The sequence below is a fragment of the Homo sapiens genome, chromosome 12, assembly GCF_000001405.40.
Source record: "Homo sapiens chromosome 12, GRCh38.p14 Primary Assembly".
In the NCBI taxonomy this organism is placed as follows: domain Eukaryota; kingdom Metazoa; phylum Chordata; class Mammalia; order Primates; family Hominidae; genus Homo; species Homo sapiens.
This window is the reverse complement of record NC_000012.12, coordinates 108,922,387-108,948,502: the sequence shown is the minus strand read 5'-3', so window position 1 is coordinate 108,948,502 and position 26,116 is coordinate 108,922,387. Positions and strand designations below refer to the sequence as shown.

General features: G+C 45.5%; 1 protein-coding gene and 1 pseudogene across 1 annotated transcript in view; both read left to right on the top strand.

The window, feature by feature from the left end:
- Positions 1-26,116, top strand: part of SVOP (SV2 related protein) — a 113,328-nt gene that overhangs the window by 72,566 nt on the left and 14,646 nt on the right. Inside the window, exons 7-12 of the mRNA NM_018711.5 lie at positions 3,337-3,400; positions 7,594-7,719; positions 9,548-9,676; positions 11,166-11,239; positions 14,232-14,308; positions 25,706-25,813. Coding sequence (NP_061181.1) covers positions 3,337-3,400; positions 7,594-7,719; positions 9,548-9,676; positions 11,166-11,239; positions 14,232-14,308; positions 25,706-25,813 — 578 coding nt within the window. The remainder of the gene's footprint in view (positions 1-3,336; positions 3,401-7,593; positions 7,720-9,547; positions 9,677-11,165; positions 11,240-14,231; positions 14,309-25,705; positions 25,814-26,116) is intronic.
- RNU6-361P (RNA, U6 small nuclear 361, pseudogene) lies at positions 21,962-22,068 on the top strand (annotated as a pseudogene).

Below are 26,116 nucleotides of genomic sequence, written 5' to 3'. Positions count from 1 at the left end.
TACTAGCTGTGCAATCCTGGTCAAGTAACAACTTCTCTGTTGTTGATAGATGTAGATATGAAAATGGTGGTAGGACTTTTACTGATGATAGAACTTTGTCTAAATCTCAGTGGTATTGCTGAGGCCCCCTTTTGAAAAGTGAAATGCTCTGTAAGGAAACCCATTGATTGGGTTGCATAGAAGCAGACAGAACTGGGGGCAGAGATTCCTCTATAAGTGATTTATTGAGAGTGCTCTTGGGAGGAAGCTGTAAGAGTGAAAGATGCTAAGAGAAAGATACAGGGAAGAAGTTCACAAGGATGTGGTTTCTTCTGGACTCACCTGAGCACACAGGGAGCTAAGGGAGTGTTCATTGCTCCACAGGATCTGACCCCCACCCCTCCCCCAATGCCAGGGGATGGGCCTTTTATACACGTACATGCCAGTCTGCAGCCTGCCCTGGGGAGATGGGCATAACTCCTAGGTACCTCTGGGGTGATGCAGCTTCAGTTGCTCAAGAGTATCCCTAAGAGAAGGTTGCAGGTATGAGCCATTAGCAGAAGTGCAAGGTGGGCACACAGACCTAGTAAAGGGATCCTAGGAGATCTAAATGTGTCCCCAGCACCATCTGCCTTCACAGGGTTAAAGGAAATTAACTTCCCTTTATCCCCCAACCCCCACCCCTTAAGAGGAGCTAGGAGAGTAACATGAGGCCATTTAGTAGCTCAGATGCCTGCCTTAGGTGGGAGATATGAGAGAAAAGAAGGCCTCCTCTTTCTAGCAAAATTGAAGGCAACATGGGATAGGTGGGAGCAGGGCCTGGTTTAAAAGTTCCCTTCCCTGTCCAGCATGCCCCAAGTCTGAGGAAGTGAAAAGGAGGAAAGTGTGGAAGCAGCAGACAGAGGCAGCCAGTGCAGTTGGGATGCTGGTTACATTAAGCAAACAAGTAAATTGAGCAAAGACATAGCCATATTGAGGATAATGAGACCAAATTTCCCATTATTGGAGAAGGGAATTGCAACATGGAAGTGGGGAAGTTTAGAATGAACCCTAAGGTGATGAACTGAAATGGAATGTATCAGTATGAACTCGTTTTTAAATAAATATACACAGATAGATATAGATATGGTGAGTGTGTGAAGAGAGAGGGAGAGAAGTAAGATAGAGATAGATAGATAGACAGACAGATAATCTCTTAGCTGTGTCCACCAAGAGGCCCAGCAGCAGTGACACCCCAGGAGCAATGAGCACACTGAGCACAGAGATCTTGGTTTCTAAATACCATCTTCTGCCAAAGGGAACCAGGGCTTCTTAGAAAGGTGATGACAGACTCCAGGGCTGGGGCAAGGGAACTATAAGATGAGCTGAATATCTTGTGCTAGAAAATAGGGAAGACCTCAAGGAATGATGGAGGCATGCCAAAAAGACAATAGGAATCAGCTTGAAGGGGCTCCCACTGGGCAGATCTGGGACAGTCTGAGCATCAAAATAATAACAGGTTGCAGGCCGGGCATGGTGGCTCACACCTGTAATTCCAGGACTTTAGGAGGCTGAGGCAGGCAGATCACTTGAGGTCAGGAATTTGAGACCAGCCTGGGCAACATGGTGAAACCCCGTCTCTACCAAAAAATACAAAAATTAACCAGGCATGGTGGCAGGCAACTGTAATCTCAGCTACTCAGGAGGCTGAGGTGGGAGAATTGCTTGAACCCGGGAGGTGGAGGTTTCAGTGAGCCAAGATTATGCCACTGCACTCCAGCCTGAGCGACAGAGTAAGACCCTGTCTCAAAATAATAATAATAATAATAATAATAATAATAATAATAATAATAAAAACAGGTTGCAACTCATGGAATAAAATTGGAATCCTCCAGTCCTTATTGATTAAATGGATAGATAGATAGATAGAAGATAAGATAGACAAAGGGGAGGAGGAAAAAGCTCTTCTAAGCATCAAAATAGTAACAGGCTTCGACCCATTGTATAAATAGGACTCCACAAGTCTATACTGATTAAATGGATAGACAGATACGATGAGGGGAAGAAGGAAAATCTCTTTCTTACAGTTGAATGTCAACTAATAAATATAGAAGGAATGATAAAAATAAAAAATACCATTTGCGGGGCTAGGCACAGTGGCTCATGCCTGTAATCCTAGCGCTTTGGGAAGTCAAGGCAGGAGGATTGCTTGAGCCCAGGAGTTTGAGACCAGCATGAACAACATAGTGAGACCTCATCTCCACAATTAAAAAAAAAAAAATTGGCCAGGCGTGGTGGTGTGTGCCTATAATCCTAGCACTTGTAGTCTTGGAGGCTGGTAAGAGGATGGCTTGAGCCTGGAAGGTTGAAGCTGCAGTGAGCCATGATCACACCATGCACTCAAGCCTGGGGATAGGGTGACACCCTGTCTCAAAAAACAAAACAAACAAAAACAACCATTTGTTACCATCACAGTGGTAGATGACTTAGATAGAGATAGTCAATGGCTAAAAGCTGGTGGGTAGAGGTTCTATGGGGAACAGGATATTGGCATAATCTGAATACTTCCCCACAAAGGGGAAATATTCTTAATCACAAATGGAAAATTATAACTTAGGGTGGAGAAATCTGTTAGACCAGATTACCAAGCTGGTAATCTCCATCACCAGCTTGATCAGGTGATGAAAATTAATGTCACCAGTGATGGGACAGATTGACATTGTGTGCTGAGAAGGGCTCAGGTTGAGGTGTTCCTGCCAAGAAAACATTTTTCCCTGGACTTATTGGATTATGGGTAGGGCTCAATGGCAGCAGTTAGGAAATTTGAGAATCACTTGGGGAGTTAAAAATGCAGGTGAGGCCGGGCATGGTGCCTCACATCTGTATTCCCAGTGCTTTTGGAGGCTGAGGTGGGAGGATCGCTTGAGGCCAGGAGTTCGAGACCAGCCTGGGTCACATACATCTCTACAAATCATAATAATAATAATTAGCCAGGAGTGGTGGTGCATGCCTGTAGTCTTAGCTACTCTGGAGGCTGAGGCAGGAGGATCACTTGAGCCCAGGAGTTCAAGGTTGTGCAGTGAGCTATGATTGCACTTCAGCCTGGGTGACAGACTGAGACTCATAAATAAATAAATAAATACAATAAAATAAAAATGCAGATGCCAGGGCCTCATCCCTTGGAGTCTGTTTCTGAAGGTCTAGGAAGGGAGGGAGCTAGAGATCTGTATATTTAACCAACATCATCTCAGGAAATTCTGATGTAAGTGGTTCACTGACCACCCTTGGAGGAATGTCGGCTGCAAATTCAGAAAACGGTAGCCATTTTCCCACCCAGTTCTGATCTTAACTCCCTTTCTTTCCCTTTTACATTCCCAGGGTGACGCTGTATGCCGAGTTCCTTCCCATGAAAGCCAGAGCTAAATGTATTTTGCTGATTGAGGTAAGGAGGAGAGCGGCCTGGGTCTCTAGAGCATGTGGATTCCGGCAGGAGGTTCTCAGATGTCTTGAACCACAGGTCAAGGAAAAGGGAGTTTAAGAAAAAAACATTACAGACTCAATATGCAAAGACGTAAAAGGATCAGTTACATCATTTCTGACATGCCCGTTTTGCAATAAGGACAAATTCTTCAATTGACAAAAACATTCAATCTATCGTCCCTCAAAAAAAGAAGTGTCGGCAAGGGTATGGAAGGGTATGTTTTTCTTGAACGGGAAATAGCTTGTATCTGAGAGCTGGTGTTGAATGGTGTGGTGTGAGTAGACCGAACTCTGGCCCACACTCATATCATCACCCACCACCTGTCTTTTTGGTCAAGAATTTCCATTCTTGACCATTTCTGTGGCCTATAGGCTGCCTTAAAACTTTCGTGGTCCAGCTAGTTCCTGTCAAGTTTTTCTTCCAGGGTCTTGTGACCCATTTTCTAACCATGGTCTGAAAGATCTCAGAGCAAATACAATGGCTCCATGACTCCCCACTTCATGCAGCTGCCCAATGGCCCCCTCCACACAGTGGCAGAATGGTTTATTTGCTCATGCTGGACATTGATTCCAACAGTGATGACTATGAACCCACTCTGATGTCCCCAATCATTTTAACCACACTGACAATGTTAATCGCATTGATCCCACAGCCCAACATTCTGACTACATCTGCTTCTTACCAATTAGGGTGATGCTCCACTGATCCACACTGATGTGGATGAATCCATTGTTTAAATATTGAAATGCATCTGGGACTTTGGGAGGCCAAGGCAAGAGGATCACTTGAGGCCAGGAGTTTGAGGCTGCAGTGAGCTGTGATCACATCACTGCACTCCAGCCTGAGTGGCAGAGCAAGACCCCATCTATTAAAAAAAAAAAAAAGGCCAGGCGCAGTGGCTCATGCCCATAATCCCGTACTTTGGGAGGCCGGGGCGTTTGGATCACCTGAGGTCAGGGGTTCTCGACCAGCCTGGCCAACACGGTGAAACCCCATCTCTACCAAAAAATACAAAAAGTTAGTCAGGTGTGGTGGTGGGCTGTAATACCAGCTAGTTGGGAGGCTGAGGCAGGAGAATTGCTTGAACCCAGGAGGTGGAAGTTGCAGTGAGCTGAGATCGTGCCACTGTACTCCAGCCTAGGCGACAGAGCAAGACTCTGTCTCAAAAAAAAAGAAAGAAGAAGAAGAAGAGGAAGAGGAAGAAGAGGAAGGGAGAAGAAGGAGGAGGAGGAGGAGGAGGAGCAGGAGGAGGAGGAGAAAGAGAAGAAGAAGAAGAAGGAGAAGAAGAAAAGGAAATGTATCTAGACCAGCTGATCTTGAACTCTGACTGCCCTTCATTCCCTTGCCTGACACTCTGTCCTCTCTCAGGGCTTCCCAGGATTCAGCAACTAAAGAGTTAAATCTTGGCCCAGTGCAGGTGGTATGGGCCTGTATAACTGGTGTCCATTCTTTTTTTTTTTTTTTGTGAGACAGAGTTTCTCTCTGTTGCCCAGGCTGGAGTGCAGTGGCGCGATCTTGGCTCTCTGCATCCTCCGCCTCCCAGGTTTAAGCAATTCTCTGCCTCGGCCTCCTGAGTAGCTGGGATTACAGGTGCCCACCACCACGCCTGGCTAATTTTTTTTTGTATTTTTAGTAGAGACAAGTTTTACCATCTTGGCCAGGCTGATCTTGAACTCCTGACCTCATGAGCCACCCACCTCGGCCTCCCAAAGTGCTGGGATTACAGGTGTGAGCCACTGCGCCCGGCTACTGGTGTCCATTCTTATTAATCAGTGCATTACTTGTTGTTAGACATTTTTCTGTCACTTCTGATTGCCAGCAACAGAAATCGACTGTGATTCACTTAAGCAAAAGGGGACTTTGGAAGGTTCTTGGGGGCTCCAGAACAAATAGGGAGGCTGGAGGGCCAGGTTTTGGAATGGACTGTAGTTGTAGAGTCAGGGTCCCAGTAGGAAACAGCTTCTAAAATTAGGATCACTGCAGATGGTTTAATAAAGGGACTATTGGCCGGGCACAGTGGCTCACACCTATAATCCCAGCACTTTGAGAGGCCAAGGTGGGCAGATTGCTTGAGGTCAGGAGTTTGAGAACAGCGTAGCCAACATGGCAAAACTCCATCTCAACAAAAAAAATTAACCAGGTGTGGTGGCACACACCTGTAATCCCAGCTACTCAGGAGGCTGAGGCACGATAATTGCTTGAGCCTGGGAGGCAGAGGTTGCACTGAGCCGAGATTGCACCACTGAACTCCAGCCTGGGCAACAGAGTGAGACTCCGTCTCAAAACAACAACAACAAACAAATAAATAAATAATGGACTATTTATAAAGTCCCTGCCAGGGTGTTACCACCCCAGGCCAGAAGGGGCAAAGAGAGGGATTAATGAGCTGCCCAGAGAGTTGTATGATGAAGGCTGCTGGACAGGAGCTAGGACCCTCAGCTGACAGATGCAGCCAGCCACGACTGCTCTGCAGGGAGGGAGCCAGGGGAGTAAGTGCTTCAGTCTCTTTTTCCTCCCTCCGCTTCCATCTCCTGCAGGGCTCCACATTGGCTGCACCCAGTGGGAAGCGCTAGGACAGGGAGCCTGTTGATGGAACCCATACAAAAGTGGAAAAGGATGGAGAGTGACTTGGACAGGCAAATTGAAGATATTCAGCCCCATCGAGAAGTGGCAATTCTGATGAGGAATTCTGGGGCACCATTGGGCAAGGGAGATGGATGTCAGTGAGCAAAATCAATGTGTCCATTTTGTACAACCACGTTTATAGCCGTGTTATTCACACTAGCTAAGACATGGAAGCAACCCGAGTGTCTGTCAACACATGCGTGGACAAACAAGCTGTGGTCTATACATTCATTGGAATATTATTCAGCCTTAAAAAGGAAGGACATTCTGACATATGGTACAATGCAGATGAATCTTGAGGACATTATGCTCAGGGAAATAAGCCAGTCACAAAAAGACAAATACTGTATGATTCCACTTATATGAGGTACCTAGAGTAATCAAATTCATAGAGACGAAAAGTAGAATAGTGGTTGCCAAGGGGCTGGGGATGGAGGGGAATGGAGAGTTATTGCTTAATGGTACAGAATTTCTTGCCGGGCGTGGTGGCTCATGCCTGTAATCCCAGCACTTTGGGAGGCCGAGGGGGGTGGATCCCATGAGGTCAGGAGTTCAAGACCACCCTGGCCAACATGGTGAAACCCCGTCTCTACTAAAAATACAAAAATTAGCTGGGTGTGGTTGAGGGGGGCGCCTGTAATCCCAGCTACTCGGGAGGCTGAGGCAGGAGAATCGCTTGAACCTGCAAGGCAGAGGTTGCAGTGAGCCAAGATTGCGCCACTATACTCCAGCCTGGGCGACAGAGCAAGACTCTGTCTCAAAAAAAGAAAAAAAAAAATGGGCACAGACTTTCACGTTTGCAAATTGAGTTCTGGAGAAGGGGAGTGGTGATGTTTGTGCAATATTGTGAATGTATTTAATACCACTGAACTGTACACTTAAAAATGATTAAGATGGTAAATTTTGTTATGTGTATTTTACCACAATAAAAAATTTGAGGCTGGGTCTGGTGGCTCATGCCTGTAATCCCAGCGCTTTGGGAGGCCGAGGAGCCCAGGAGGCCTGGGAAACATAGTGAAACCCTGTCTCTACTAAAAATACAAAAGAAATTAGCCAGGCATGGTGGCATGTGCCTGTAGTTCCAGCCACTCAGGAGGCTGAGGTGGGAGGATTGCTTGAGCCTGGGAGGTTAAGGCTACAGTGAGCCATGATCGGGACACTGTACTCCAGCCTGGGTGACAGAGCAAGACAAAAAGACAGAGAGACAGAGAGAGAACCAGTGTGTTCACTACCAATTTGACATCACGTAATATTGGTCACATTGATCTCCTTAACCAAAGCTGCCACATTGCTCAGCTCCAGCAGGTGCCATGCAAATATTATACAGTGTATAATGGTACCCTTGTGAGCTGGGCAACATGGCAGCCCTGGCCCAACCATATAGACCACAGGGAAAGTGTGGCTATTCTAACCTTACTGACTCCGATGACCCCTTACCCACAGAGATACCCTTGTCCACAATGCCCCCATAATTCCTCTCTGTATGGACCATGCTACCCCCACCACTGACCCTGATTCTCCTGTGCCAGGTATTCTGGGCCATCGGGACAGTGTTCGAGGTCGTCCTGGCTGTGTTCGTGATGCCCAGCCTGGGCTGGCGTTGGCTGCTCATCCTCTCAGCTGTCCCGCTCCTCCTCTTTGCCGTGCTGTGTTTCGTAGGTATCCTTTAAGAGATTTCACCTTTTGCTGTCTGACATCTTACTGTCCACTCTATTTTGGTGGGGAGGGGATAGGGAAGGATACCAAAGCCACCTTTCAAGATTATTTTTTTTAAATCAGGAAATGAGACAAGGGAGCTATGGCCTGGGGTAGCCCCAGTATGGAGTGTTAGATTTCCTCCAGACAGACACTTCTGGGATGTTTTCTGGGGAGATAACTGGGGATGGGAGGATACATTGGCCCCATCATTGCAAAATCTACACTTAAAGTGATTGTATTGCACTAGTTGAGACTCTTAAGTTTCAAATGACAGAAACCCAATTCAAACTGGCTTGAGTAAAAGAGAGGGATAAATACATTTCAGAGGATTAAGTCAGACTTCAGGCATGGCTGGCTCCAGGAGTTTAAATGATCTCTTCATCTCATCTGTGCATAAACCACACCCTCTACTGAGATCTTGCCACATACTCATCATTTCATGGGCACATGCTTGAAACACTTTACAGCCAGTAGGCACTAAAATAAGCCTAGAGATGGGTAGTTCTCATGTACGGTAAATACCACAAAAATTCCTGGTAATGATAATAAGTATTAATAATTATTAAGCTTAACTGTGTGGCAGGCTCTGTGCTCCATGCATTATCATATTTATTCCTCCCAATAATCACAGGACTATAATGAACCCCTATATTAGTCAGGGTGATACCAGCTGCTGAAACAAATAAAGCCCACAAGTTCAGTAACAGCACGATAGGAGCTTCTCTCTCACTAACACAATAGTTCAGAATGACTTTTCTGGTTGGCAAGTGGAATTCTGGGCCCAGTTTTTGTCCAGCTGGTGGCTCTGCCATCCTCTAGGGCTTTGAAGTCTTCTACATACAGACAACAGACTTGCAAAAGGCAAGTGGAGACTGCACAGTCACTTCTTAAATACCTTGGCCAGGAATAGTCTGCTCATATGCCATTGGTGAACACAAGTCACTTGGTCCCACCTAGATGCAAAGGGAGCTGGGAAATGTAGTCCCTGTCTGGGCAGCCACATCTAAGGACAACTTTGCGCTATGAAAAAGGAAACAGAATGTTGGTGGGCATTTGCACTCTCTGCTATATCCTCTTTTTATTGATGAGAAAACTGAAGCCCAGAGGGGCTAATTGACTTGTTAAAGGGCCTACAGCAAGTAGACAAAAGAACTCTAAATCAGATCTTCTAACTCCTAGTCTTTTCTCCAGTATACCTGCTGTTTCAAACAGCTGTTGCTCCATTTTTACAGAAATGTATGTATGTAGTCATTTGGGGTTGGGACTTCCATTGGCCTAAAAATCTTTCTGATTTCTTTCTTTCTCTTGAACTGAGTTTGCAAGATGATGCTGAATACAGGTGAGGTGTAATTCCTTGAACAATGGGGGTGAGATTTCTGACAGTGATCTTAATTTAATTCAGCCCTCACCTGGAACTCTGAAAACAGCCCCAAATAATAGTAATAGCAACCGTGACAATAATAATAACTGCATTAACCCATACCAGGCACTGCACTAGGCACCTTGCCTGTATTATCCTGTTTAATCCTCTTAAGAGCCCTAAGAGGTAGGATCTCTTATCATTCACATTTTATGGAGAAGGAAATGAAAGCACAGAGAAGTCAAGTAATTGTACAGGGTCACACAACCAACATAATAAATGGTGGGGCCAGGATTTGAAGTCAGCTCTCTGGCTCCAGAGCCCCCACTCTTAAAGACCCCACATGCAACACTGTGTGGCTAGAAGCGAGTGCTCTGTTCCACCCTAACCAGCCACGCCTGGGTTTCCTGTCTCCCCCATCCCAGTGGCTGCCTGAAAGTGCAAGGTATGATGTGCTGTCAGGGAACCAGGAAAAGGCAATCGCCACCTTAAAGAGGATAGCAACTGAAAACGGAGCTCCCATGCCGCTGGGGAAACTCATCATCTCCAGACAGGTCAGTGCCTGGACCAATAGACTCTGCAATGTGCGTATCGGGGTGCATGCAGGGGAGTGTGTGCATATGGAGTAGGGCATGCATGCGAGGACACATGTGGGTATGTGTACCCAAGGTGGGGTGTGTGCGTGCACATGGAGCAGATGAGGGCCCAGTAGACAGGACCTGCAAGGGTAATTTGGCAACTCCAATCTGTATTTTCACTTCCAAGTTCTAAAAATGCTTCCTGGAGAATTTCACCAGTGATTAGAGAAAAGTAACCTCTGCTAATGGGTCCTGTAACTGCTCCTGCTTTGGTTTCGCCTTTCAGCACAGATGAAGTCTGACTAGCGAATGAGACTGATTGGCAAAAGCTGTGCAATAAAACCATATCAGGAAGGAGTGTGCTTAGATCTAGGGGATCAAACCGCACCCTGTGTAGGTGTTCTTAATGAATGGTGCCTCACTCCGCTGGTAACACCATCAGGGAGTCCACCACGGTGAAACTTAATGAGCACCTAGTATATGTAGGCACCAGCATTGCACACATGGGGAGAAAAGATTCGGATTTAAGGCTGCAGTCCCTGCCCTCAAGAACCATCCAAGCCGATTGAAGAAACATGACAAATACCTTAAGCAGACATCAGATCCTATAAAGAAATTACCTTTTAAAATAAAGTTATATTTCTGATTCTTTTTATATTATGCAAGAAGAACTGAATGGCATTTCACCAAGTTGGAAGGAGGTGTTTGGTCTGACAACATAGAGTCCAGGGGACCTGCCCCAAATCTACAGGGGCAGAGCAGGATGGATTCCTCAAGAGGTGCAGAAGCCTATTTGGTTGCCTTTGGGGAGAGATCCCTTCCATGGATGAGGGAAAGCCAGGCTGGTCTCGAACTCCTGGCTTCAAGTGATCAACCTGCCCCGGCCTCCCAAAGTGCTGGGATTACAGGCACGAACCACCACACCTGGCCATAGCATATATTTTTTAAAGAACATCGTAAAGCAAAGTTTGATAAATTTGTGAATTATGTAAAATTGGCCAATCGGTCATTTAGCTAATCAATCTTTTGGTAAATTGGCCTTTGGTGAATTAGTTTCTCAGCACATTAACTGTTGCCACCTAGACCTAGAACTGGGGAAGGCACATGTGTGTGTGTGAAATGGCTGGACATGCTTTGGACTGGTTTTCTGCTTGCTGTGTCCTTGGATCTGTGCTGAGGTCTGAGGGGCCAGGAAGGAGGGATCTGCTTCCCAAGTCCAGGTTTCCAGGTTGGAGGGCGTGAGATCCATCCTGTGGGGATCATGCCCCTGGACATGGCTGGGTTCTGGCTGGAGGGGCTGGGAGGCTGCGTCCTGTAGATTTGAGACCTGGGTTCTCAGAGCTCCAGTGTCCTACTTACTAGAAACCTTCCTCCCAGCCTGGTGTGCACTAGTCTCAGGCCACCAGCCCATCTCCCGTGCATCTGTAGGGGAGAGAATAAACACTATGTCCTTGTTTTGAAACAGGAAGACCGAGGCAAAATGAGGGACCTTTTCACACCCCATTTTAGATGGACAACTTTGCTGCTGTGGTTTATATGGTAAGAGCTGTTTGTTGACCACTTTGACCCCTTTCCACTCCCTGTGCCCTGTTTTGGGTTTTGTTTTAATGCAATGGACAGATAGCACTTTGATTTCAGGCAGCGTTTGCAAATTTCAGTAGTTCGAACATCATCCTCCTGATTTCCGTCATATCCAGGTTATCATCTGTACGTACTATCATTTCCTTCATCTTTTTCTTTAACTTGACTGCTTTTAATCACCGTGCAGGCTGGAGTGCAGTGGCGCTCTCCTAGCTTACTGCAGCCTTGAACTCCTGAACTCAAGCAATCCTCCCTCCTCAGCCTCCCCAAATTCTGGGATTACAGTTGTAAGCCGCTGAACCAGGCTTATAACTCTACTTTAAAAGAAAACACCTTAATTGCAAGTCACAGATAGAAGGCACTCTTAAAGAGAAATATCAGCAAAAGTAACTAGACGGAGGTTTGCAGAGGCAGTGAGCCTCTGTATTTAAGAGATAAGAAGGCTGGCTGGGCATGGTGGCTCATGCCCATAATCCCAACACTTTGGTAAGGTCAAGGTGGGAATATCTCTCGAGGCCAGCAGTTTGAGACCAGGCTGGGCAACACGGTAAAACCCTGTCTCTACAAAAAATGTTTAAATTAGCTGGGTGTGGAGGCATGCACCTGTGGTCCCAGCTACTCAGGAGGCTGAGGTGGGAGGATCACTTGAGCCCAGGAGGTTGAGGCTGCAATGAGCTGTGATCATGCCACTGTACTCCAGCCTGGGCAACAGAGTGAGACCCTGTCTCAAAACAAAAAGAGATGGGAGAGGGGAGGTGTTAAGGACTCATTAGCACATAAGTGAGACTGGGATATAATTTAAAAGGATTGAAAGGATTGAAAGTAAACTTAAAAAGTAATTTTTCTTTCACAATACGATTAAATATTTCTGCTATATGGGCTGGTGTGGTGTCTCATGCCTGTAATCCCAGCACTGTGGGAGGCTGAGGCAGGTGGATCACCTGAGGTCAGGAGTTCGAGATCAGCCTGGCCAACATGGCATAATCCTATCTCTACTAAAATACAAAAATTAGCCAGGCATGGTGGTGGGCACCTGTAGTCCCAGCTACTTGGGAGGCTGGGGGATGAGAACCACTTGAACCCGGGAGACAGAAGCTGCAGTGAGCCGACATTGCTCCCCTGCACTCCAGCCTGGGCAACAGAGTGAGACTCTGTCTCAAAAATACATGTGTGTGTGTGTGTGTGTGTGTGTGTGTGTATTTATACTATGTCAGTGTCTTCCCTGTAGCCCACATTGCCCCTTGGGTACCACAGGGGTGGCATGTGGCACGTATTTTGGGAACCACTGATTTGGTCAACATGGGCATCCTTTTAAGTTCCAGTTCTGATCCTGTTGGACTTTTTCTTAAATAATACCCATGGAAGGGAGTGGAGACAGAAGGTGTGGGTTGGGGGTGGTATTTGGAGAGTGTAATCACCTTAAACTCCACAATGAATTGGAGCTGCAGTCATCTTTCAAGTCTCTTTGCACCAATTCATGTACACAGCATTAATAGTGAACAAAATTGGCCTGGCTTAAGGCTTTATGTTCTATTTTAACCAGTTCTCATTTTTCTATTCACCATTTAGCAAAGGTGCTAATTAACAGGGAAGTGTCCCCAAGGTGGTCAATTACAGGGAAGAGGAGAAAAAAGCTTTGATAATATACAGAACGGACTCTAGCTCTGCCCCGAATTCCTAAGAGCTCAATTAACTCAGTGAGCCTGCAGAATTTTTTAAAAGGATGGTGGGGCATCAGAGTTGAGAATACCCACCTTTGAGCACATGTAATTTGGTTGGGCCAACGCTCCTTGAATACTGAAGCAATTAATTAGAGACTAATTTTAGTGCATTATGAAAGCCACTACATTTGCTTGCACACATTGAAACCTAAGGAAATGAATCACTGGCTTCTGATTATGACTGAGTTTTCATATAACTATTCTACTGGATGAGAAGGTTCCGGTCTTGCAAACTTGAGTATTCTAATTTCTGGGTCAGCCAGGAATTAATAAACGGTGTCATTCTGCTCTGAAATTCGAAAATCACATGTCCAAGTTGACGCAATTGACCCAGAGCCCTAAAAGATATTAATGGGGCTGTTTTCTTCCAGAGGTTGGTCCCATTTTTCCCCTATTGCCAGTTGGGTAGACAGCCTTGGAGGTGTTGTGTCTCTTGTATAGCATAGTTCTGTTACCAGAAAGGTGTCCTGATTCAGACCCCAAGAGAGGGTTTTTGGATTTCATGCAAGAAATAATTCAAGACCAGTCTATAGAGTAATGTGAAAGCAACTTTATTAAGAAAGTAAAGGAATAAAAGAATGGCTGCTCCATAGGCAGAGCAGCCCCAAGGGCTCCTGGTTGCCCATTTTTATGGTTATTTCTTGGTGATGTGCTAAACAAGAGGTGGATTATTCATGCCTTCCCTTTTTAGACCATATAGGGTAACTTCCTGAAGTTGCCATGGCATTTGTAAACTGTAACGGCACTGGTGGGAGTGTAGCAGTGAGGATGACCAGAGGTCACTCTCATCGCCATCTTGGTTTTGGTGGATTCATAGCTGGCTTCTTTACTGCAACCTGCTTTATCAGCAAGGTCTTTATGATCTGTATCTTGGCCGACCTCCTATCTTATCCTGTGACTTAAAATGCGTAACCATCTGGGAATGCAGCCCAGTAGGTCTCAGCCTTCATTTACCCAACCCCTATTCAAGATGGAGGTGCTCTGGTTCAAACACCTCTGACAGTTCTTGGTCTTTCAAAGGACACAGGATCACTTCCCTTTGATCATATCGTGATGCTTTTTTACCTACCATCTTCTTGCTCAAGGTCCCCAGTAAAGCCCCCAAAATCCCAGTGAAGCCCAAAGACTGGTCCCTGCTGCTGTAGACATTGGCCCTTCCCAAGGGGGTAGGGAAAGGGGACTGGTGTTCCTCTGATCATTTCTTTACCTTTCTTGCTTTCTCCTGGCAGGTTTTCCAATGCATTCTCTTACTACGGGTTAGTTCTACTCACCACAGAACTCTTCCAGGCAGGAGATGTCTGCGGCAGTGAGTATCTTGGTTGTCTTTGCCAGCTAACTACTCCCACACCCTCGGCACATACACAGTCATGCACACACTCCCACCCCAGGCTCTGCCCTTAAGGGATTGGCCTTGTACTACTTCTGTGGTTTCCAAGACACTCTGTAGAAACCTGGACAGTCTTGTCGCGATGGAGCTAATCTTAGAGGAGCCACATCTTATGTCAGGGTTTGGGCTCTGAAGTTCGCACTGTTAAAACATAAACCAAGGCACATTAAAGAAAAACAGAGGTAATTTTGAAGAGTTTATCTGAGCGGACAGCGATTTATGAATCAGTAGAAAAGAGCTGAAGAAAACAGAAACAGGGAACAAAAAGCAGGTGGGTTGTTTCAAAGTGACTTTCCTTATTGGATTAAAACAGAGCAGATTTTCTTGTCAGCCAGCTCAGGTAAACTAGGCCCCTTCACATGGTTTGCTGTGAATCTTCCTTTTCAAAATTATTATTATTAAATTTATTATTATTATTTTTTTATTTTTTATTTTTGACGGAGTCTTGCTCTGTCGCCCAGGCTGGAGTGCAGTGGCTTGATCTCAGCTCACTGCAGCCTCCGCTTCCTGGGTTCAAGCAATCCTCCTGCCTCAGCCTCCCAAGTAGCTGGGATTACAGGTGGCACCACCATGTCTGGCTAATTTTTGTATTTTTTTTAGTAAAGATGGTGTTTTGCAGTGTTGGCCAGGCAGGTCTCAAACTCCTGACCTCAGATGATCTGACTGCCTTGGACTTCCAAAGTGCTGGGATTACAGGTGTGAGCCACTGTGCCTGGCCTATTATTATTATTATTTTTGAGACAAGGTCTCATTCTTTCACCCAGGGTGGAGTGCAGTGGCACAGTCATGGCTCACTGCAGCCTCCACCTCCTGGGCTCAAGAGATCTTCCTACTTCAGCCCCCAAAGTAGCTGGGACTACAGGTGCAAAAAGAAATAGCATGTTAGTTAAATTTACTTATTTATTTATTTATTCACAGAAAAGAGGCTGAAAAGTTGCAGGCCAGGCGTGGTGGCTCGTGCATGTAGTCCCAGCACTTTAGGAGGCCGAGGCAGGTAGGCTGAGGCCAGGAGTTAGAGACCAGCCTGGCCAACATGACAAAACCCCGTCTACACTATAAGTACAAAAATTAGCTGGTTGCGGTGGTATGTGCTTGTAATCCCAGCTACTCAGGAGGCTAAGCCAGGAGAATCGCTTGGACTCAGCAGGTGGGGGTTGCAGTGAGCAGAGATTGCACCACTGCACTCCAGCCTAGGCGACAGAGTGAGATTCCATTTCAAAAACGAAAAAAAAAGAATTATATTTGGGAGTAAAATATTTTGATTTCCCTCAGGGTCTGCTGTCTGTTGAGTGATGTTCTACTAGAGTCAAGTTGGAATTTGGTATCTGATTGCCACGAAGAGTCTGTTTTGTCGGTCTTACGATCTTTGTTTTAATGTTAATGCTGGTCAGCTGTGCCTAAACTCCAAGAGGGAGGGGGTATAAGAAGGAGGTATGTCTGAACCTCCTTCCCATCATGGCCGGAATTCAGTTTTTCAGGTTTCTCTGGGGTCCCCTTGGCCAAGAAGGGATTCGTTCAGTAGATTGGGAGCTTAGGATTTCATTTTTGGTTTGCAGTTAAGTTACTCTTAACTGATTTCAGTTTGCTCGCCTAGGACCCCACAACACTGGAGCTGTCTCAGACTAATGGCCTCTCAGTTAATTTTTTCTAATAGCATTACTTTTTCTTTTTTTTGAGACAGGGTCTTGCTCTGTTACCCAGGCTGGAGAGCAGTGGTGTGATCATAGCTCACTGCAGCCTTGATCTCCTGGGCCTAATAGTATTTTAAGGTGAAAATGTAATATAGGTTAAAATTATGGCTGGGTATGGTGTCTCACACCCATAATCCTAGCGGTTTGGGAGGAAGAGGCAGGAGGATCACTTGAGGCCAGGAGTTCAAGAACAGCCTGGACAACATGGCAAGACCCTGTCTCTACAAAAAATTTAAAAAATTAGCTGGGCATGGTGGTGTGTGCCTGTAGTCCTAGCTACTAGCTGGGAGGCTGAGGCAGAAGGGCTGCCTGAGCCCATGAGTTCCAGGCTGCCGTGAGCCATGATTGTGCCTCGGCAATCCAGCCTGGGTGAGAGCGAGACTCTGTGTGTGTAAAAAAAATAAAAATAAAAAAATAAAATTATCATCGCAAATCCCCTAAAGAGCCCTCACGAAGTATAGTACTCAGAGCTTTATGGATATGATCCTGAGCAATAATTCTAATGTGCACATTAAGTTTGAGGACCAAGTTGGCTCTCCACCACGGCCACATAACAGACTCACCCGGGAAGCATTTTTTTTTTTTTTTTTGAGACGGAGTCTCGCTCAGTCGCCAGGCTGGAGTGCAGTGGCGCAATCTCGGCTCACTGCAAGCTCCACCTCCCGGGTTCAAGTTATTCTCCTGCCTCAGCCTCCCGAGTAGCTGGGACTACAGGCGACCGCCATCACGCCCAGCTAATTTTTTGTATTTTTTAGTAGAGACGGGGTTTCACCATGTTGGCCAGGATGGTCTCAATCTCTTGACCTCGTGATCCACCCACCTCGGCCTCCCGAGGTGCTGGGATTACAGGCGTGAGCCACCATGCAGAGCCGGGAAGCTTTTAAACAGTGCCCAGACCCATTTAATCAGGACTTGGGAGAGCAGGTGGAGCTCAAGCATTAGTAAGTTTTAAAAGCTCTCCATGTGATTCTATTGTGCAGCTGGAGGTGGGAACCTCTGGACAAAAAGAAACAAATGCAAAGAAAAGTCTATATGCTTTTTTATGCCTGTGCTTTTAAGCCATTCTGACTTTTAAGATAACACTAAATTCTCAGCATTGAACTCAGGTTAGAGGATAAAAGAATCAAGTTCCTGCTTGTGTTCGGGGTTTGCCCAATTATCTTTTATATTAGGCCTCTATAATCATAGTTAATAGTTTTGTTTATTGGTATAAGGATTGAGTGAGGTAGTGGAGTCCCATCTCACTGTGGGGGTGTGGGAGAGTCTGTGTTAAATGCTCTGCTGATGTGCTTTGATTGTAGAGTCAATCACAGGGTTTGGTATTGACTGAGCACAGATTGCCTCTCCTAAGAGTAGAATGCTTAAGCTAAGCATCCTAATGCTTAAACTAAGGATTCAGGGGAATGTCGTAAAACAGGGGTTAGCAATCTTTTTCTATAAAAGGTCAGGTAGTAAATATTTTAGGATTTGCAGGCCACATAACTCTGTTGTTTGTAGCAGCACAACAGTGGACGGCATATTGTTAAATTAAGTCCAGCCTAAAGCTGCCTCCTTGCATATTTTAAGTTCAGCCTAAAGTTTCTCCATACATAGTGAGCTGTATGAACTGTAACCTAACTGGATGTGTGAACAGACTGTAATCTACTCTTGTGCCAATCGCTGATTTCCGCCACTCAAAAGCAGTCAACTCACCAGGCGTAGTGGCTCATGCCTGTAATCCCAGGACTTTGGGAGCCGAGGTGGGAGGATCACCTGAGGTCAGGAGTTCAGGACCAGCCTGGCCAACACGGCGAAACCCCATCTCTACTAAAAATACAAAAATTAGCTGAGTGTGGTGGCACATGCCTATAATCCCAGCTACTCAGGAAGCTGAGGCAGAATTGCTTGAACTGGGGAGGCTGAGGCTGCAGTGAGCCGAGAAGACGCCACTGCACTCCAGCCTGGGCAACAAAGCGAGATTCTCTCTAAAAAAAAAAAAAAAAAAAAAGCAATCAACTGTTCAAACTCTATTCAAATAAGGCAAACACTGAGCTGTAACCAGTCCAGCAATTTCTGTATCTCACTTCCGTCTTCTGTTACTTTCCTGTTTCTGTCCATAAACCTTTAAACACTTGGCAGTACCAGTCTGTCTCTGACCCTATTCTGGCTTGGGGGCTGCCTGATTCACGATTTACTGTTTGTTCAATTAAACTCTGTTACATTTAATTTGTCCAAGGTCTTTCTTTTAACAATATAAATGAACAAGCATTGCTTGTGTTTCCATGCAAATTTGAATTTTGGGTCATTTTTATGCCTCATTATTTCCTCTTCTTTTAATTTCTAAAAATCATTCGAAAAAAACATTTTTAGCACATAGGTCAGGCAAAAAACAGGCAAGGGACCAGATTTGGTCAGAGTTTGCCAACCCCTGTTGAAAAGCTCTCTCTTATACCTGGGTGGGAAAGTAAAACTGTAGAACAAGCCCACAGCTGGAAATTAGGAGACCTGGGTTCCAGCACCAAGTACCTGTGTCACTTTGGGCAAGTCATTTACTTAGTATGTATTTTCTACACGCCAGGTACTGGTCTATGTGTCAGTGTCCAAAAAAGCCAGAGCTGGACAGAAGTGAAAGCAGTGAAGGAAAATTTCATTTAGTAACAATTGCAATAGGAGGAGAGAGACCTCAGTATAGAACTGGGCTCCTTTCTGTATACGCAAGTATTCAAAGTGGGGATTTATAGCCAGGGAGCAGGGTGGGGGAGTCAGTGGATGGAAAATTACTAAGAGGAAATGTCAAGGATAAGATGGTTTCTGGTTAAACCGACTTGATAGGATTATTGCTGGGCCAGGCTCATACTCGTAATCCCAGCACCTTGGGAGGCAAAAGTGGGAGGATTGCTTATGCTCAGGAGTTCAAGACCAGCCTGGGCAACATAGTGAGACCCCATTTCTACAAAATGTAGAAAAAATTCGCATGCCTGTGGTCCCAGCTACTCAGGAGGCTGAGGCAGGAGGATTGTCTGGGCCTGGGGAAGTCAAAGCTGCAGTGAGGTGTGATCACACCATTGCATTCCAGCCTGGGCAACAGAGCGAGGCCCTGTCTCTAAAAATATAACTAGCTAACTAACTAACTAACTAACTAAATAAATAAATATTTAAAAAGGACTATTGCTGAAGGCAAGTATAGGGGAGGAAGCATATCTTTCCTTCTATTCATCCTGGTTTTATGACTGAGGCCCCTATAACAAAAGACAGATTAAGAAAAGCATATGAACGTATTTCATCTAAGTTTGATGTGGCATAGGAGCCTTCATAAGGAAAGGAAGACCTGGAGAAATGGTTAAGCCTGAGTATCTTTGTGCCAGATTTGATGAACAGTGGAGAGTCGTAGAGAAATATGACAGGACGAAGAGTGTGACCTAGTGGTAACAAACTGGGGGAAAGTCAGCAAGGCCTGTTCAGATTCTTTTCTGTCCCTGTGTCTTTGGAGATAAGGATTTTCTTTTTCTCTGGGTATAGGCAGGGCACCTCTCACCTGAGGGTTTTATGATTTGCTTCAAAATAAAGTCATAAAATGGCCGGGCATGGTGGTTCATGCCTGTAATCCCAGCACTCTGAGAGGCTGACGCGGGCAGATTGCTTGAACTCAGGAGTTCGAGACCAGCCTGGGCAATATGGTGAAACCCTGTCTCTATCAAAACTACAAAAACTGAGCCGAGTGTGGTGGCGTGCATCTGTGTTCCCAGCTACTTGGGAGGCTGAACTGGGAGGATCGCTTGAGCCTGAGAAGCGGAGCTTGCTGTGAGACGAGATTGTACCACTGCATTCCAGCCTGGGTGACAGAGTGAGGTTCTGTCTCAAAAAAAAAAAAAAAATCAGAAAATCCGTCTGGGTTTTATGACCTGCTTCAGGGGTGAGGGGCAAAGGAAGGTCAGAGGCCCCTTCTCCACATGCTGTTTCTCCAATTATTTTGACTTAAAATATTCAAAATGCCAAGGTGCCATATTTGAGGGTTGGCATGTCCTGAACCCCATCACAGGCCAGGGTGATAAGAAATCAAGGGTGGGGGGTGAGGAATTGGATCAAAAATATCAAAGGTGTGCATTTTCGCTAGACTGATTCAGCAGTATCTTGTCAAAACTAGACAGAGCCCAAGGGTGAGGATGAAATTTTAAAAAGACTCAGAGGAGCCTGACAAAAGTTTGGTTAAAATGGTGGGGGTCAGGGGGGTGTGGGGGTTGGCTGCGCATGGTGGCTCACACCTGTAATCCCAGCACTTTGGGAGGCTGAGGCAGGTGGACCACTTGAGGTCAGGAGTTTGAGACCAGCCTGGCCAAAATGGTGAAACTCATCTCTACTAAAATACAAAAAGTAGCCAGGCATGATGGCATGTGCCTGTAATCCCAGCTACTCGGGAGGCCAAGTCAGGAGAATTGCTTGAACCCAGGAGGCGGAGGTTGCAGTGAGCCAATATAGCACCACTGCTTTCCAACCTGGGCGATGGTATGAGACTCTCTCTCAAAAAAAAAAAAAAAAGAGTTTTTTGTCAGCTGAGCATGGTGGCTCATGCCTTTAATCCCAGCACTTTGGGAGGCTGAGGCAGGTGAATCACTTGAGCTCAGGAGTTCAAGACCAGCCTGGGCAAATGGTAAGACCCCATCTCTATAAAAAGTACAAAAAAGTAGCCTGACTTGGTGTGCCTGTGGTCCCAGCTACTCAGGAGGCTGAAGTGGGAGGATCACTTGAGCCTGCAGGTGTGGAGGGTTGCAGTGAGCGAAGATTGTGCCACTGCACAATCCTGCTCCAGCCTGGGCAACAGAGTGAGAGCCTCTTTCAAAAAAAAAAAAAAAAAAAGAGAGAGAGAGAGTCTTTGTCATTAGAATACGTCAGTGAATTCTAATTACAAAAGACAAATATTTCTGCCCTGTGGGCTTATATTTGGGGGGAAGGGGAGACAATAGCATGATGAGAAATTATATAGTATATTACAAGGTGATAGATGAGTTAAAGGAAAAATTTTAAACAAAAGGTAAAATCATGCCTCTCGTACAAATATAAAATTAATACATGACAGACTTCAATTAACTCATTAATTAATAAATGAATCAGTTAAGAATTACTTAAAGTCTGAGTGTGACCTATTTGCAAGCTGACAAGTTAGCCTTTCACAGCTCCCACAGGTGCTAGCAGAGGACACAACACTCCTGGGTCAGAGACAAAGGACCATATTACTCATAGCAATTGCAGTAGCCAGAGTATCGGCATTTTCCTACACCAGTTCCTCAAGCCCCCAATCCCCCAGGGTAACATGAAGAGGGGCAGGCAATACCAACAAAAGTATTGAGTTGTGTAACAAGAGAAGATCCCTGAGCTTAGGGAACCCCAACCTTTTATACTAGACAGTAAGCATGCCTGTCCTTTGCTCTGGAGAGAGACATTTTATCTTCGAAAGCCATAAGCAAACTACTATTTGAGCCAAGGGGAGACATTCTCTTTCTTCCAAGGCTGTTTGCTAAACAAATATCCTTGAAAATATAGTCCAGAACAAAGGTAGTCAGCGCATCTACTCAAAACATGCAGAAATGTCAGAGACCCAAAGAGAATTGTCTACTAACACAAATAAGAGGGTACAACTGGTTCAAAGGAGAAGTCAAAGCAAACACATATACAGGCAATCAGAAATGCTGAAGTGAATTTACAATTAGAGGCAAAACTGGTCAATATGTATAGGGCAGTCAACTGCATCACCACCAGGCACTATTTGCATTTCTATGTATTAATACTAGAATCATTTACATTACTATCATTTTTCTACAACATAGCTCAAAGACAATGACAGGTGAAGGTAACCTATAAAGGTACAACTACAAGACATTTTTGCCCATTTCAAAGTCTTTCACACATGCTTACTTCAGCAGCACATATACTAAAATTAGAACAATACAGAGAAAATTAGCATGGACTCTGCACAAGGATTCCATGCAAATTGATGAAGCATGCCATATTTCTGTGGATTGGGTTAAGAAAATATGGTACCAGTACACCATGAAATACTACACAGCCATAAAAAAGAACAAAATCATGTCCTTTGCAGCAGCATGGAGGCAGCTGGAGGCCATTACCCTAAGCAAATTAGCACAAGAACAGAAAACCAAATACGACATGTTCTTACTTATAAGTGGGAGCTAAACATTGGGTACTCATGAACATAAAGATGGCAACAAGCCCAGGTGTGGTGGCTCACACCTGTAATACCAGCAATTGGGAGGGCGAGGAGGGAGGATTGCTTGAGGCTAGGAGTTCGAGACCAACCTGGGCAATGTGGCAAATTCCTATCTCTACAAAGAATACAAAATAATTAGCTGGGCCTGGTGGTGTGTGCCTGTGGTCCCAGCTATTTGGGAGGCTGAGGTGGGAAAATTGCTTGAGCCCAGGAATTCAAGGCTGCAGTGAGCGGTGATTGTGCCACTGCACTCCAGCCTGGGTGACAAAGTGAGACCCTGTCTCAAAAAAAAAAAAAAGGTCAGGAATGTAGGGCAGATAAAGGGGCAGTGGTTAGAGTTAAGTTTTAAATAGGATGGTCAGGGTGGCCTCAATGAGAAGGTGAAATTCAAAGACTTGAAGGAAGTGAGGAAATTCATCATGGGGAGGGATAAAGGGCAATTCAGGAAGAGAGATCAGCCAGTGCAAAGATCCTGAGGCAGGTGCATGCCTTACTTGCCAAAGGAACAGCAAGGAGACCAGTGTGCTGGAGTAGAGTGAGTGGAGCAACAGGGGAAGAAGTAGAAGGTGGGGTCAAGGATGTGTTAAGTGCCAGATAATATAGGGCCTTAAAGATTTTTGAAGGACTTTGGCTTTTACTCTATGTGTCATGGGAGGTCATTGCAGAGTTTTAGGCAGAGGAATAACAGTGATTTGACTTAGGTTTAAAAAGTATCCCTTTGACTGACGTGTTGGAAATAGACCATGGCTGGGTGGAGAGGTCAGGGGAGAAAGTGAGTACAAGCGTAGAAGCAGGTAGACTAGTTGGAAGGTTATTTTGGTAATCCAGATGAGAGAGGATGGTTGACGATGGCTCAGACCAAGATGGCGGCAGTATTACTGAACCGAACCTCCCCCGGCACGGTAAAGCCAAACATCTACACTGAAGTTTGCAGTAGGAGAAAGGAGGGCGTTTATTTGCAGGATGCCAAGCAAGGAGAAACAAGCAGTTCACACTGAAGATCCGACCTCCTGGATGGCTTATAAACAAGGATTTTTAAAGGCAGGGGTACATTTTAGGAAAGTAGAAGTTACAGGCAAAATCAGAGGTCAATCCATGGAAACTATACCTTGGTTTGGACCCTGAAATTGGGATATCTTGAGGATCAGGGGGCCTTACAGGTGGACTTAGAGATTCTTTGATTTGTAATTGGTAAAAAAAAAAAGGAAGGCTTTTTCAAAAACTTGAGGTCAGCAGGAAGGAGTGTTAAGGTTTGGCCTGTGGGCCTGACTCTCTCTAGGCCCCTCAGGAAAAGATTTATAATCAAGGGCAGTGGTCAGAGTTGAGTCCTCAGTTCTCCCTTATCTATTATGTCTACTCAATGGTGGTCAGCATTTTCCATCTGGTGGATTCTGGGTTTCTGAAACCAACTCAGGGACATATGTTAAGATGTTATCTTTAGTTTCTATAGGGAACCAAACATCCTGTGGCTCTAACCTTCTTGGGTGGCTATTATTTTAAGGTATTTTTACCTTCCTGTTTATTAAGTTCTTCAGTTACTTCTCAAGGCTAGCTAGGTGCCTGGTATTTCTCTTGAAGGGACTCAAGATTTTCCTTTATTTCCATGTTTGGGGGTGGTGGGCAGAAGCCTCCTGAGACAGGGTCCCTGCTCTGTCTCAGCAGTGATGAGATGTGGCCAATCCTATTCTAATATATTTTGAAGGTTGAACAGCTGATGGGTTGGCCGTAGGGTATAATAAAAGAGAATAGTCAAGGATACCTCCAAGGCTTTCTGCCTGAGCAACTGGAAGGATGGAGATGCCACAACTGAGATGGGGAAAGTGTAGGTGGAGCAACTTTGGGGGACACTCACCCTCTCTGAGTCTTGCCTGTTAAATGGCTGGTTCAGATAGGGTGTGTGAATCAATTTGGACTGCTATAACAAAATACCTTAGACTGGGTAACTTAGAAACAACAGAAATTTATTTCTGTCGGTCCTGGGGGGCTGGGAAGTCTAAAATCAAGGCACCAGTAGATTCAGTGTCTGGGGAGAGCTCTCTGCTTTATAGACAGCATCTTCTTGTGGCATCCTCACATGATAAAAGGGGCAAACACTGTGTCCTCAGATGGCATAAGGGCTGGGGAGCTCCCTTCAACCTCTTTAATGAAGACACTAATCCCATTCATGATGGAAGAGCCTTCATGACTTAATCACTTCCCCAAAGTCCCTACCTCTTAATACCAACACAATGGAGATTAGGTTTCAACATGAATTTTGGAGGGACACATTTCAGACCATTTCACCTCTATCTTTAGGAGATTAGTCCCATAGTTTGAGAGTAAAGCAAGGTCAGGAAGGGAGCAATGTAGCATTCATCCTTCTTTATTAACTCTGCCTGGAACAGGGATGAGATCTTGTTTCCATCACCTCTTTGGCCATTGGGTTCCACTCCAATTCGCTTTCAATAAAAAGGTTAGGGGTAGATGGTGAGGGACAGGAACAGGTGATAACCATGTATTAGTTATCTATTGGTGCATAACAGAATTACCACAAACTCCTGACCTACAGAAACTATGAGATGATAAATGTGTGTTGTTTCTTAGTGGCCTGAGACAGCACACACTTATCATCTCATAGCTTCTGTAGGTCAGGAGTCTGGACACAACTTAGCAGGGTCCTTTGCCAGGCTGCAATCAAGGCATCAGCCAGGACTGGAGGTCTGTGTTCTCATCTGGAAGCTCAACTGTGGAAGGACCCACCACCCCACCTATGTTGGTTGTTGGTAGCATTCAATTCCTTGTGGTTGTAGGACTGAGAGCTTCAAATTCTTGCTGGCTGTCAACTGAGGCTGCCCTCAGCAACTAGAGGCTCCCCTCCACTCCTTGCCACCACATAGGCCACCTACATGGCCACTTGCTCCTTCATAGTCATCAAGGAAAAGCATAAGAGACAGTCCTGCACAATGGGCATTTCAGTCTTGTTTAATGCAATCACATACATCCTGTCACCTTTGCTGTACTCTGTTGGCTAGAAGCAAGTCACAGGCCCCATCTACACAATCAAGGGGAGGGGATTACACAAGAATATGACTACCAGGAAGTGGGGATCATGGGGGCCACCCTAGAGTCTGTCTGCCACTAAAGTGCCTACTACGTGCCAATTCTGTACTAAGCACATTCATACGCATAGCCCACTTTCAGTCTCTCAATCCCTTTACATGGTGCTTTTATTTGCCCCAGTTTTATGAGGAAACTCACACTTAGAGAGATGAAGCTGGAGCACTGCGGCTTGGTGTTCAAACATGAATCTGTCTGTCTCTGAGTCTGGGCTCTTTCTATGGCATCTAAACTGAATCACCCCAGGGAAGGAGGTATGGGGAGCAGGAAGGTGTGATTCAAGACTCTGTATATGTCTCCCCCTCTCTTTCTCTCTCCCAACCCCAGTCTCCAGTCGGAAGAAGGCTGTAGAGGCAAAATGCAGCCTGGCCTGCGAGTACCTGAGTGAGGAGGATTACATGGACTTGCTGTGGACCACCCTCTCTGAGTTTCCAGGTGAGGGACCTGTGCAAGGTGAAGCTGTGTCAGGCAAGCCTGGGAATATGGCAATTGTTCAGCTGGTGGCTCTGTCTACCCTACCTGGAAGCAAATCCCATTTTTAGTCAGCGAGGGACTTTGTTTTTCAATCCTTAACTATAAGTTGTCAAGAACTGTGAAGGGGCTGAGATGTTACCCTACTTGAAGGCTGTCAAGTTAAGCTGCCCAGTTTCATGCATGCTGGCAGAAGACATGAGACTCCTGGGTCAGAGACAAAAGACTATTATAGCAAGCAGCTTGAGTAGTACCTTGGTGACTGTT